We start from the raw sequence: 13,603 nt of genomic DNA, 5'->3' as shown, positions 1-13,603 counted from the left end.
CTGTACATATACCTAAGGCCCCACTTCCCTCCACGAAGTAAGATGGTTGCTAGAGCAGCCCGAATACAGCTTTTCTCTAGGGGTAAAATTAGCCCCTAGGAGTCCTATTCCTGATGCTTTATTCCACTGCCTCATGTTATGCCCACAAGAGTTCACTGGCAGCAGACACAGTGAGTATGGTAGAATGAATGAGCATGGGCCAGAAGTCAGGCACGAGGGCTCTAATTTCTGCTCTACATCTAGCTAGCTGTGTGACCTTGATCAAATGCCCCCACTCTCTGGGTTCCCTTTCTCTAACTGGGTTGGGTCTCATGTGCCCTGAGATCCTCCCTGCTCTCCCATTTGAGGACAACATGGCTCTGTTGCAGTTAGACTAAACTCTAAGCACAAAGTCCTGAGTTTGGGATATATCTTGGTTAGAGTCCAGCCCTTATCCCCTCTCAGCCTCAATCTTCCCATCTGGAGAATGGATGTACTAGTTCCATCTCACAGTGCAGGGGTGAGGATCCAGTGAGAGGCTGCCTGGGACCCTGCAGAGGAATACACTATGCATGATACAGTATTGCAGTTATAATCCTTTCCATGGCATTGCGCAGTGCTTTCTCACACAGAAAGGACTGCCTCTTGTTTAACTCAGAGGGAAGAGTGGACTAGTGATGACGGACTCACCTTTCTGACACTTATTCCCAGAGAAAGGAGCCAGGCAGCTGCATGTGAAGGTGCTCCCATGGACGAGGCAGTCCCCACCGTGTTCACAGGGGTTGGGCTGGCATGGATCTAAGACACACAGGAAGAAGGCAATGTTGGTAAGGAAAGGCAGGTGAGAAGCGCCCCCCTCCAAATTTTTCATCAAATTTCAGTCTCCTGCCCCAAATGAGAGAGTAACTACTGAGCCAGAAACTGGGGAAAGGAGGAAAACATATGTTGTCCCTAAACAGCAAGGAAAACTGCAGTCACCTGACCAGAGAGAGGGATTCAGGTTAGTGAGAGGAGAGGCGAGAAGGAACCACGACTGTCTCCCCTCGGCCTGGCTTTGGACGGGGCCTTTCTCATTGAGAAACTCCCCTTTTCCCTCATCAGTGTTTTTCTCCTCCCAGTCTTGCTGGGAGTGCCACAGGGTCTGTCTCTGATGCTGAAGGTATTTCACAAGCCTGAAGACCTCCCCTACTTCCAGTGCCCAGGGGTGGAGGTCAGGAGTGGGGAAAGAAAACCCACCCCTAATGAAACGCAAGCTTTCTGAACATCAGGAGAGAAGACCAAAGGCAAGAGGGTGACAGAAGAATTGGCGGCAAGGAGGAAATGACCCAGTGGCCTTCATCTTTCTTCAACTACTTGTTCAGTTAGATTTTGTCATATTTCATCTGTGCCTGTGGCTTTTCATGGTTGTCTGAATGGATCTTCCCTTGGGGAATTCTTTATCCTTCTGTTCACACACATTGTTCTTTGGTTCAGGAACTAGGATCCCTGGGCCCTGCTCTTGTTTTGATGGTCCCTTCTGATGTTCCCCCATGCCCTGTATCTTGGCCCTGCCTTCCAGGCCACTTTGCACAGTTACACAGCTTTTATTCCAGCTGCTAAGTGCTTTCCATTCCTTCTCCTGGTTTAGTCACATGGCATTGCTTGGACCCAGCTTCTTCTTTTCTGTCCCACTGCTTGGGTTAAGAAGCCACAAAAACAAAAACAAGTGTGGTAGGAGCACATGTGTATGAATACACACACACACATATGCACACATACACACACACAATCTAACAATTGTGGAAAGCTTCTAAAGAGTGAAGGGAGAAAGAAAAAGTGGAAGGGAAGGAAAAGTTCTGGCAAAGGCATGAGGGAAGGAAAGTCCCAAAGCTGAATGTGTACATGCTACAGTCTGGTACTCAAGGCTGACATGGACTTCCTGCATCCTTAGGGTCTGACCTGTAATCTAAGCTATGGGAGTGATTTTGAATACAGCTGCTATTCACAGCATCAGGAAACCTGGACAATGCTGCATTAACTTGCTGCATGACCTTGGCCAAGTCAGCTCCTCTCTTAGCCTCACTTACCTCATCTGTCATTTGAGGGTAGGGGAGATGGTCTCTAAGAACTTCCCCAGTCCTCATAGCATATGAATCTAACAGAAAAAAAAGCCAGTCCAAATAATTTCTTCCATAGCTATTTCACAATACTGGCCAGAGAGGCGGAGAGAGAGGCCCTTGCATGTGGTCCCACATACACTCCGCTCTGACCTTCTCCCAGGAGAGTCCCTGAAAGAGATTTGGTACCTACCAGCTTGGTCCTCAGTGTAGTACCAGTCAGGATTCTCAGCGTGGGTAAGTGTGCTACTGGTGTTCTCTTCCTGATTATAATCCTCGTAGCTGTAATCATACTGGTCAGGGGTCCAGTCTGCAGGGATGGTAACAGGACAGAAGAAATCCTAATCATTACACTCAAATAGGCCAGCATTTTATTTAGTTGGACACCTTTTCCCCAAAGAATTCAAAGTCCTGCAGGAGGAATCATGTGTCTCTCCAGCTCTGCACAGTGAGGGGAGTGGAAAGGAGGGCTCAGGCTTTGCATCTTTTCACTTGGGGGACGCTATGACCCGGCAAGGTAGTGTTGACATTTAGCAGGGTCATGAGCACCTGATTGGAAGTGAAGAGATGAAGCGAAGTCCAGCTTTCTACTCCCTTGAACTTAGGAAAGCCAACTGTATTATCAAGTCTTGATTTTCTCATCTTTGAACAGCAGGAAGAGGATTGGGACCTAGCACGTCTACAGGGTCCTACATGGGGTCTGCCCGGGGTCAGATCACACTATACTTGAGTGCCTGGTTGCCTCATCCTGTGGATAATATTTCTTGATGGGACTTCATTAGTCACCAAGCTGAATGAAATCAAAGAAAACTCATCATTTTTCTTTTGGTCATGGTCAAGCATTATCTACAGAGTCATTTTAACAGATAACATTTTTTGAGCCTTTATTATGTACCATGCCCTGTGCTAAGCACTTTACATGCACCATCTAACTTCATCTTCATAAAAATCTAGGAGGTGTATTGTTCACTCTAAGTTGAGAAACCTGAGGCTGACAGAGATTGAGTAACTTGGCCAAGGACACATAGTTACTAAAGGGCAGGATATGAACTATGGCAGTTTGTCTCCGTACAACCCCTAAATCTCACTAGCTCAACTGTAGCACTCAACTGTTTCAACTGGGGTCTTACATTGCCTTGGGTACTCCCACACTTACCCTTGGGAAAATGTGTCCCACCATCCCCATTGACTATCCAGCCTGCTCATTAGGAATTTCCCAAGGATAACCTTATAAAAGTTCATGGATCTTGCCTACAGTTGTAAACCTCACACTAGACTGGTCATTGGGAAAAAAAACAGGTATGTGTAAGGTTGGCTGGACTCAAGCTCTTTGCTCTCTGGGGCCTTGGCGGGGAGATCCTGGTAGCTCTGTGGCTGGTAGGTCTGTGGAAGTTTGGGATTTGAAGAAAGTCAGGTTGACTTTGCTCTCTCCAGCCGGCTGGAGTATGGCAAGTCGGCAAGTTGAAGCTGCAAGGAAGCTGTCCAGAGATGCATATGATAATGAGGCGCGAGCAAATGCAGATAGCTGACTTGAAAAGGCACTCCTACGGAGCCAGCTGATGGCTTGGAGGATGGCACTTTACCTAAGCCTGATTATCAACCACATTATCTTACTCGTCTCTCAGTCATTCTGTTAGAGTCTTTATCTCTCTGGCTTTTGAAAAATCGACTTTTGCACAATGGCTGTTTTATATTTCCCATTAAAATGGAACTAGCTTTTTATTTCTTTTTTGAATACGCCAACTCTGGTTTCTTGCCAAAGTTTCACCTCATTTATCACAGTGTCAAGTCAAGACTCCCTTGGCTTGCTCATTATTTCTCCCGAAGTGCTTTTCCCCACTATGAAAATGCTCCCAGGGGAGGCCACCTTTTTAGGGCTGAGGATCCAGGTTGAAGATAAGGCCATTGTCTTCCTGGAGCAAATAAAGTTTTCCTCCATCTAGCGTGATAAAGCAGAGAAAGAGAGGGAGAAAATGAGGAAAAAAATGTTTTTCTGAGTTTGACATGAAAGATTTCAAACTGACATTTAGGAGAGACAATGGGGTTTGATAAGGAGCTGATTGCATTGCTTAGTTATTTCTTGTTCTTTGAAGAATTTATTTTTGTTTTTCCAACAGATGTTTATAGATAAATGCCCTTCAGGTTGCTTCTGTAATTTCTCCCATCTCTCCCACAGGTTGGCAGTCAGACCAGCTAATCTTGGCAAGGCCATTAAGAATTACTTCTTTTGCAGATATTTAGAAATGGGGAAGATTCTGATGTAGATGGTATGGTGTGACTTTTCCAGGTGACGAGGGATGAATGAAATGTCTGTTAGAGGATTTTGACTTGAATCCAGACCTATTAACAAGGTCTGCTTACCTCTCAGTGAAGCCAAAGAAGAAATAAAATACATAGGCTTTGAATCATATTGCTGCTAAGAAAGGCTTCCTATTCTCTAGGGCCCATGGGCCTCAGTCAAGATGGATAGAACGAGCAGAGCTCAGTGGCCCCAGGTAGCCAGGGTGGAAGAAGCCATCCAGCTGGTGGCTGTGCAAGGAAAGTCACAAAGATCCTTTCCATTTGGGATGGGCTGCCATGTGATTTGAAGGTGCTTTACAGGAGTATCATCTGGGAGGGTTTCTCCACTTCTAGGATTAAACCTTATTTTGTCTTTCCCATTATGTTGGCACTTAATCCTATTGTCTGCATATGTAACTTGTCTTGTGAACCTACAATGGACCAAGTGTTATGCCAGGTTCAGGATGGCATTGGGAATGGTGCAGAGTTATACAAATAAGAGTAGGATGTGGCCTTGTCCTCAAGGAAGCCTCCAGCCAAGGTTGGGTGGGGGATGAAAGCCAGCTAAGGAAGGAGATTAAAGAGTAGTGAAGAGGTGAGGGAGCTAGAAGTGACCAAGTCTAGGCCTGGCGCCCTCAAGTTCCACAGTGAAACTCTGCTTCAGTATGAGCCAATCTGATGACAAAAATAGCCCTTGATTCTCCACCCCTCCCTGCACCCACACCCTTTGCAATGTGACTTTTCAGTTTCTCCCACCAAGAGATGGAGTCAGTTTCCCTGCCCCTTGGTTCTGGGTTGGCCTTAGGACATGCTTTGGCCAATAGCATGTGTGATGGAAGGACGGTGTGCCAGCTCAGAGCCTGGGCCTTAAGAAGTCTTGTTCTCTCTCGACTCTGTATCTCTCCCACTCCTGGACCCACATGACTGCCATGTGAACAGTTTGGCCTATTCTGCAAGAGCAAATGAGAACATGTGGACAACGGCTGGCCTAGTGGTCCTAGCTGAGGCCTCAGACATATAAGAAAGCCCAGCCAATATTCAGCAAGATAAGAGGCCAGCCAATCTGCCAGCTTCTGCAGACACATGAGCAAGCCCAGTCAAGATCAACTGAGCCCGATGCAGCCCAGAAGAACTGCCCAGCTGAACCCAGCCAAAATTGTCAACCCAAAGAATTGTGACCTAAATACATGGTCAGTGGTTTAAGCTACTAAGTTTGGGGTAGCGTATTATGCAATAATAACAAACCGACACACAGGGCTTGATTGATATTAGATTGCTAATGGGATAAGAATTTTAGTTTCAAGAGCATTCCTCTGTGGCCCAGTTGGCTGGAGAGTTTTAAGTGTCATAGCTAGACCTCAGATGGCACCTCTCTTGGGTATTTGGTCTATCTTATTTGTTTCCTCCAACTTGATAGTTAGTTTCTTAAAAGGAAGGGCCATTTCCATTCCTCTTTTAACCCCAGAGTGCCCAGCACAAAGCCCTACCTGTAGTTAATGTATGTGATTGACGGATTTATTTTTCCCTTAGTGGCTAAGCCTTTCTGCTTTCTGATTGGCCTGCATGCAGCTTTGCTGGCTAAAAAAATGGTGTCTGCTTAAAGCAGAGCAAATAGGGAATTTCAGTAAGAAACTGTGTAAGAAATGGGTCAAATGTACTTGGCAAAGAAAATACCTGATGAGCTCTGTAGCGATCTAGAAACTCGTCCACATATTTTCCTGGGTAGAGAGGCACAGTAGCCTGCCATAAATTTTGGTTCCACTGGTAGATTGTAGAAAAACAGTTCAGGTTTAAACATAGATTATTTGTGACTTTCTCTAGGCTATAGAAAAGGGAGGAGCTTTGGGAAAGAAAGGGGCAGCTGTTCAAGAATTTTCTATCAGGAATAAAAAGAAATTCTTGTGAGTTTGTCTAGTTTTCAGTCTGTTTCTAGAAATTATCAGGAAGAATCATGAGAGTATCCTGAGTTAAGCCAAATTATCCTAATAATAGGTTATAATGTGTTGAGTATTTTCTATGTATCAGACACTAAACTAAATAAATGTGGTTGCCCACAATCTTACTTCACCTTAAAGCAACCCTATAGCATAGGTATTATTATTCCTATTTTGCAGATAAGGAAAAATGAAGGCCAAATGAGATGACATCATAACCCAGGTCTACCTAACTCCAAGTTTTATTTGCCTTTTTACGATCCTGGAATCTCTTATAGGTTTGGGTTTCATGAAAGTCCTTGGGTTTTAGCTTTCAGGAAGTAGCATGCATTGGGAAACCTTCTTAAGCACATGCTCCAGGTCCCTTGACCAGGATTAACTCAGTCCATGTTTGGGGTCTCTCAGAAAATGCTCAGAGTTCCTGCGATGGGAGCTTTGCAGCTGCTCTGGTTAAGGAGCTTGCCAGATGTGTGGAACAGAATCAAAATCCCCGGAATGTCGTCCCTGTTGGTGTCATCCATCACTGTGGCACAGACGGCTCCTCTGAGGGCCTCCTCCAAACCCCAGCCCTGTCGGCCTGCATTTGACACTTCCAATCTGGCTGGCGGGGCAAGCCCAGCAGACACTCTCGCTGGCAGGCAGTAGGACAGCTGATGGATGGGCTCAGCCTGCATTGCTGGGCAGAGCCAAGCCAGCTTTGAAGAGGCATTTCCACAGGCCTGCTGGCTGTCGTGGCACCTGCTTTGGGGAGATTGGCAGAGTCTGTGCTGTTTGCTGGCTACCTCCTCCACCACCCACTGGGGACTGTGGAATGCGCACCTTCTGCTCCAGCAAGGCCCTCACCGTGCGCTGTCTCCAGCAAGATCAACCAAAGAAGCAACTTGCCCACGGGCACGAGCACGGGGTCTCTTTCGCCATGCTGTTGTCTAGAGCCAGCAGGGAGCTGACAAATACCATCAAAGCACAACCCCTGTGAGAGGTTAAGTCGGACACTGAACAGGGATGTTTTTAAACTGAATCTACTCTTTGCAAAAAGGCCCAATCTCTACAACTCAGCCCACTCCCTGGAGGCTATGACACCTCGAGATGGACTCTGGATCCCAGGAGAAGTCTGCTTCAGGGTCCCTTCATTTATATACCAAACTGTCTGAAGGTAGTTTCTTGAGGGTTAAATTAAATACTCTTCACTCCCTATAAGAGGTTTTTCAGCCTGTGCTTAAAAAGCCTCCAGTGATGGGAAACTCATTACCTCCTGAGAGCCCAGTGGCCCATTCAGATTTTTGAACAACTCTGATAGTGAGAAAGTTCTTCCTGTTTGCAGATCAAATCTGACCCTGTAGCTCCCAGTCTGTTTGATTAAAGCTATAAATCTATGGGCACATTGGCTAACTCCACTCCCTTTCCATGGTCTCTGTTCAGTAGGGCCACTGCTTACAGTTGCTCAAGTTGTTCACTGCACAATTCCAGGGTGTCATGAACTCACTGTAGATGTCTCTTACAACTTTCTGGCAGCTGGCAGTAAAGTCAAGGGCCCTTGAGTCTTCCGCACTTCTTTTTCTTCCACTGTGTCACCCCATAGCTCCCACAGCCCTGTATCTCTGAAAATCAGACCCAGGGATCCCCTTCAGCGGTGCCTGAGCAATTTGGGCTTAAGGCTGGGGAAGAGGCCACCCTTCCAGCCCCTTGGTCTTGGCTCCTCCCTGGACTCCACGTGTGGGTGGTGGTGTGTTCATCAGCTAGGGGATAACTCTCTGAAATACGCGCCTTCAGAGGAACTGAACTATGTGTCGTTGAATATCCTTCGTGTTGGGGAAAGACACGGATTTTCTCAAAACCCCACACACCATGCCAATATATATTTCTCTTCAACTCCACAAATATCCTCTGAGCACCTGGGACAGAATGAAGACCTGGCCTCATCTTTCTGCCCATCCAGGGTTTGCTGCTGGACAATATTGACTGTCAAACTGACTTTGGCCCAGTTACTGCCATCTTTGTGCCAAATAAATCCTTGATTCAAGGTTCAGATGTGGCCACAGTCTCCATGTGTTGTCTGCCTGGCTATGGCGCTCTGTGGGTGACCAGCATAGATCTCTACCAGTGGGGTTGTTGGCCTCTGGCCAGATGGAGTGGCGAGCAGAATTTTCTCCACTGCGGCTCAGAGCTGCAAAGGGAGACTCGAACCCAGAGCCAAAGGACTAGGAGTGCATGATGTGGAAGGGGTGGCCCTGCTTAGCTTGCGCACGCTGTGGGCACAAGGCCGAGGACACAGGAAAGGGAGACAATAAGAGAGCGAGTCTGTGAGACAGAGAGCCCTTGTGAAGATACAGGACCCACCTGGTGGTAGACGCGTCGAGCCTGAGGAAGCAAACCATTTGGGCAGAGAAGACAACAGCAGAGGTGCTGGTGTGAGGGTATCACCAGGGCAGGTCAGCCCGGAGGCCGCCCTCGCACAAAAAGAGGTGGAGCGGCCTGCCTGGAGCCATGCATTTTTCATCTCGCCCTCACTTTGCCTCAGCCTTTCACCTCATCTCAGCCTCCAATTCGCTGTGTGGCCAGGAGTAAATTGCTTCCCCTCTAGGCCTCAGTTCTTTATAAAATCAAGGGTTTTAAGTACGTAGGCAGTATTTCCCTTGGGATCCTGAGCCTGGGCTCATCAGTGTCCACAGGAAACTCAAAATTGTGTAAAGCATTGTGGGTGCACAAATTTTGAGGGCAAGTTCTCAAAGGTGCCTGTGACAACCTGGAACCAGTTGAACCCTGAGGTCCCTCCAACACTTCCATACTTAGGCCTCCTTTTCACCAGCCCAGAACCAGCCTGGGATTGGTGGGAAGCCCCAGGGAGATCAGCACACTTACCTGGGTCCAGGCTTTCCAATAAAGACATCAGGGAGAACTGAAAAACAAAACAACACAGCAGATCAGCGTTGAGATGGAGCTCTGCCGGGCGTGCTCCTTAGCTGTCAGCCAGAGGAGATCGTATGGGGTGCAGGTGCACTGCGTGCTTTCTGATGGTTGTGGCTGGGCTAGAGGTTGAAGGGAGGGGCAATGGGGTCTATTTGAAGATACACCCCCTCCACCACCACCACCTGTGCGCGCTGAGTACTGAAGCATTGTCCTTCTCCACAGCAGGGGTTCGTGTCAGTTGTCTGCACCTGTCCTTGCTTTGGAACACGGCTGCCCAGGTACTGGTGTGCTCGTCAGGTGCAGTGAGTTTCATCTACTCCCTGCCTGATCACACATTGCTGCATTTCATACTTATAACAGCCCTATGAAGAGGCTTGCATCAGCCTTGTTTACAGATGAGAAAATTTGGACTCGGAGGTCACATAGCTGTGATAGGATTCGGAATTCATGCTGAAATCTAGGTGATTTCTTCAGGTGACAGTTCCTGGGGATTGGGGATGGACAGATGCTTAAAACCCTTCAGTGGCTTCTCGTTGTTCTTAGAATAAAATGCAAACACCTGCCATGACCTACAAATCTCCTCCCATACTCCTCCCTCCCATTGCCCCTTTACTAAGCTTCAGCCACACCTGGCTTCAAAATGGCGCAAGATAAATTCCTCCCACCTCAGGGCCTTGGCAATTATTGTTGCCTCTGCCTGGAAGCCCCCCTCTATGACCTTCGCTAGGTCTCAGTTTAAGTGTCATCTTCCCTGAAATATCCCATCAATATGACATTTCCCTATCCCCACTGTTTTGTCACTGCACCCGCTTATTCCCTCCATAATCCTTACTGCAGTGCATAGATTTACATTTGTTTATTTGCATGTCACCTGTCTCTCACATCAGACTCTGTCCTCCAGAAAGGCAGGGATTTTGTCTGTTTTGTCATTGATGTATTACCCAATACCTAGCATAGAGCTTGGCACATGGCATTCCTCAAAAAGATTTGCTGAATAAATAAATAATGACATAAATATTTCCTTTAATATGCAGTACTCAACCTGAAAAAGAAAGTATTACTCATTTAATAACTGGAGTATGCTCTCTTCCACTTTAATCAGGGGTCAGCAAATAAGGGCCCTTGGGCCAAGCCTAGCAGTTTTGTTTTTGTAAATAAAGTTTTATTGGAAAACAACCATGCCTGTTTGTTTATGGCTGCTTTTGTAGAGAGAAAGTATAACCCCAAACATTTACTATCTGACATTTTACAAAGTTTGCTGAACCCTGATTTAAAGAAATGCGAGTTCTACCACTAGACAGCTTTCCCTTTGGGTCTTGGCCGCCAGAAAGCTGAGATCAATGAGATACATCAAGCTAGGCAGTTTGGTATATTTGCTGCTTCTACCCTCTGCAGAATTTCTAATTTTCTGTTTTACTGTAGGCTTCCTTACATGATTTTGGGAATTAGGTAGATGATAAATTAGGAAAGAAAAATAAAAAGAAATAATGCATCCTGATATGATGTACTGAGGATGTAAAATATCAACAGATAGTACTCTTGGCAAAAATAGTTACCCTGAATTTACTCATGAGGAACATGACAGATCCAAATTGTGAGATTCAAATTGCAGGGCATTCTACAAAACACCTAGCCTAGCCTCCAGAAAAACATCAACACCATAAAAGACAAAAAAAGATGGGAGGACTGTATTTTTAGTAAAGGACATGGCAACGAAATGCAGTGTGTGACTCTTAATTGGATCCTGGATTTAAAAACAATGGCAAAAAGGACATTGAGTGCTGTGGTTTGGGCTGACTTGGATATTTGTCCTCTCCAAACCTCGTGCTGAAATTTGATCCCCAATGTTGGAGGTGGGGCCTCAATGTTGGGGCATAGGGGTGGATCCATTACAAATGGATTAGTACTCACCCTCAGGGTAAGCAAGGTTTCACTCTATTAGTTCCTAGGAGAGCTGGTTGTTAAAAAGAGCCTGGCACTTCCATCCCTCCCTCTTGCTTCCCCTCTTGCCATGTGATCTCTGTACATTGGCTCCCCTTTCCCTTTTGCCATGAGTGGAGGCAGCTTGAGGCCCTTGCCAAAAGCAGCTGCCCAATCCTGGACTTTCCAGTCCTCAGAAATCCAAGCCAAATAAACCTCTTTTTTAAAAAAAATACATCACCCAGCCTCAGGTATTCCTTTGTAGCAACACAAAATGGACTAAGATACTGAAACAAGTGGGAAATTTGAATATAGACATATTAGACAATATTATTGTGTCAATGTTGACTTTCTTGAGAGTAAACAATGGTATTGTAGTTCTGTAGGAAAATGTACTTATTCTTAAGAGACGCTGGCTGGGCGTGGTGGCTCACGCCTGTAATCCCAGCACTTTGGGAGGCCGAGGTGGGTGGATCACAAGGTCAGGAGATCAAGACCATCCTGGCTAACAGTGAAACCCCGTCTCCACTAAAAGTACAAAAAATTAGCTGGATGTGGCAGCGGGGGCCTGTAGTCCTAGCTACTCGGGAGGCTGAGGCAGGAGAATGGGGTGAGCCCAGGAGGCAGAGCTTGCAGCGAGCCAAGATTGTGCCACTGCACTCCAGCCTGGGCTACAGAGCGAGACTCCATCTAAGAAAAAAACAAAAGAGAGAGATGCGTGGTGAGGTAGAGTGATGTCTACAATTTACTTGCAAATGATTCAGCAAACAAACAAACAAAACAACTATACACACAGGAGAATGAGAGACACAGCAACCATAACGACATGTTAACAATTGTGGCATCTATCTGGATGAAGAATATTCATTGCATTATTCTTCCCACTTTTCTGTAGGTTTAAAAAATTACAAAATAACATGTTGGTGAGGGGAAAGGAATGCAAAAAAAGGAAGAGAGGTCATTTGTTATCGGGGACTGTGCCTCTGTCTAATGACTTCCTGGCTAACCACCTCCCCCACACCCTGTTTCTGCAGGCAGTGAGATGGGACAGGTGTTCTGTTTGGGGCTGAGGGTGGGGGTTGGCAGTGGGGAGGCCTGGCAGAGGAAGGGCAGCTTAGGCCTTAGGGGTGCTCCTGGGCTTAGGGTGAAGGATTGCCAGAAATGGGTACCTCTGGGGTTGAGTGCCAGAGAGGTGCCATGAGGGGACCCTAATATGGTTTGGCTGTGTCCCTACCCAAATCTCATCTTGAATTGTAGCTCCCATAATTCCCATGTGTCATAGGAGGGACCATGTGGGAGGTAATTGAATCATGGGGGTGTGTTTTTCCTGTGCTGTTCTCATGATAGTGATTAAGTCTCAGGAGATCTGATGGTTTTATAATGCGCAGTTCCCCTGCATACACTGTTTTGCCTGCCACCATGTAAGACGTGTCTTTCACCTTCTGCCATGATTGTGAGGCCTCCCCAGCCATGTGGAACTGTGAGTCTATTAAACCTCTTTTTCTTTATAAATTACCCAGTCTTGGGTATGTCTTTATTAGCAGCATGAGAATGGACTAATACACTAAGACTTCAAGGACAAAGGTTACCCCTTCTTCAATCTCGCCCTCATCACCCCCAGTCATCTGGGCCTTGGTCCTGGTCTTTGCTCCCTGCCTTGCCTTTCTCAGGGCAGGGCCTGTCTGTCTAGACCTGTCTCCACCCAGTCCTTTGGAGATTCCCTACGAATTCTTCTCTTTGAGCCGAACAGGGTGGGCCATGTCCTAAGAAGTGGGCAGAAGACTTTGAGGGACATCCTTCCTCGGGGTCCAGCAAGGAAGGGCCCTCCAGGACCTGCACCTGGGCCAGCATTGCGCATCCTGGCTCCAGCTGGAGCCTGAGGGACAGCCGGGTGCCATGCTGCCTACAGCCAGCAGGTGGCAGACGTGCCCTTCCTAGGAGCTGGCGCTCGGAGGGAAACCAAACAAAAAGAAAGCCGAGACTTCCTGGGCTGGGCTCTCGGGGAGCCTGAAGCCGATGTGCAGCTTGGGCTGCCTGTCAGGGGGTCGCCGGAATCTGAAGCAAGTCACTCATTTTGTGACTCACAGTGTCCACCCACAGAGAGGGGCCGTGGTGCAATGTGGAAACTGGTAGTCCGAACACCTGGCTGGATATTTAGGGACCGTATGGGAAAGTCCAGGCTGATAGTCAATTACTTATGCCTATATCCGGATCCCTGAAACTAACCTGGATGATGGTAGGTGGGAAGGGTGGACACAGTATTTGCCTCCTTTCATTCCATCATTCCATTATCTCTTCTCCCAGAGACAAGAAAATGATAGAAGAACCCTTACTCCTGAGACTTGCACATTCAAAGAGAAAGATCGATGGAAGAGTAGGAGGAAGAGATAACTAGGGAGAAAACTGTTATCTCAGTTCACATTCCTTTAGAGCTGACAATGTGCCATCAACTGTGTTAAATATTTTACGGACATTTTGTCTTGTTTG

General features: G+C 46.9%; 1 protein-coding gene across 2 annotated transcripts in view; it reads right to left on the bottom strand.

The window, feature by feature from the left end:
* The window catches only part of HABP2 (hyaluronan binding protein 2), a 38,772-nt gene that overhangs the window by 12,929 nt on the left and 12,240 nt on the right, over positions 1 to 13,603 (bottom strand). For both annotated transcript variants that reach the window (NM_001177660.3, NM_004132.5), the window contains exons 2-4: positions 9,149 to 9,185; positions 2,269 to 2,385; positions 670 to 777 (exon numbers count right to left, since the gene is read on the bottom strand). In NM_001177660.3, coding sequence (NP_001171131.1) covers positions 670 to 777; positions 2,269 to 2,385; positions 9,149 to 9,176 — 253 coding nt within the window. In that variant the 5' untranslated portion in view covers positions 9,177 to 9,185. The remainder of the gene's footprint in view (positions 1 to 669; positions 778 to 2,268; positions 2,386 to 9,148; positions 9,186 to 13,603) is intronic.

The sequence above is a fragment of the Homo sapiens genome, chromosome 10 (assembly GCF_000001405.40).
Source record: "Homo sapiens chromosome 10, GRCh38.p14 Primary Assembly".
Taxonomy (NCBI): Eukaryota; Metazoa; Chordata; class Mammalia; order Primates; family Hominidae; genus Homo; species Homo sapiens.
Note: the sequence above shows the minus strand (reverse complement) of the source record. Positions and strands in the feature narration are given on the sequence as shown.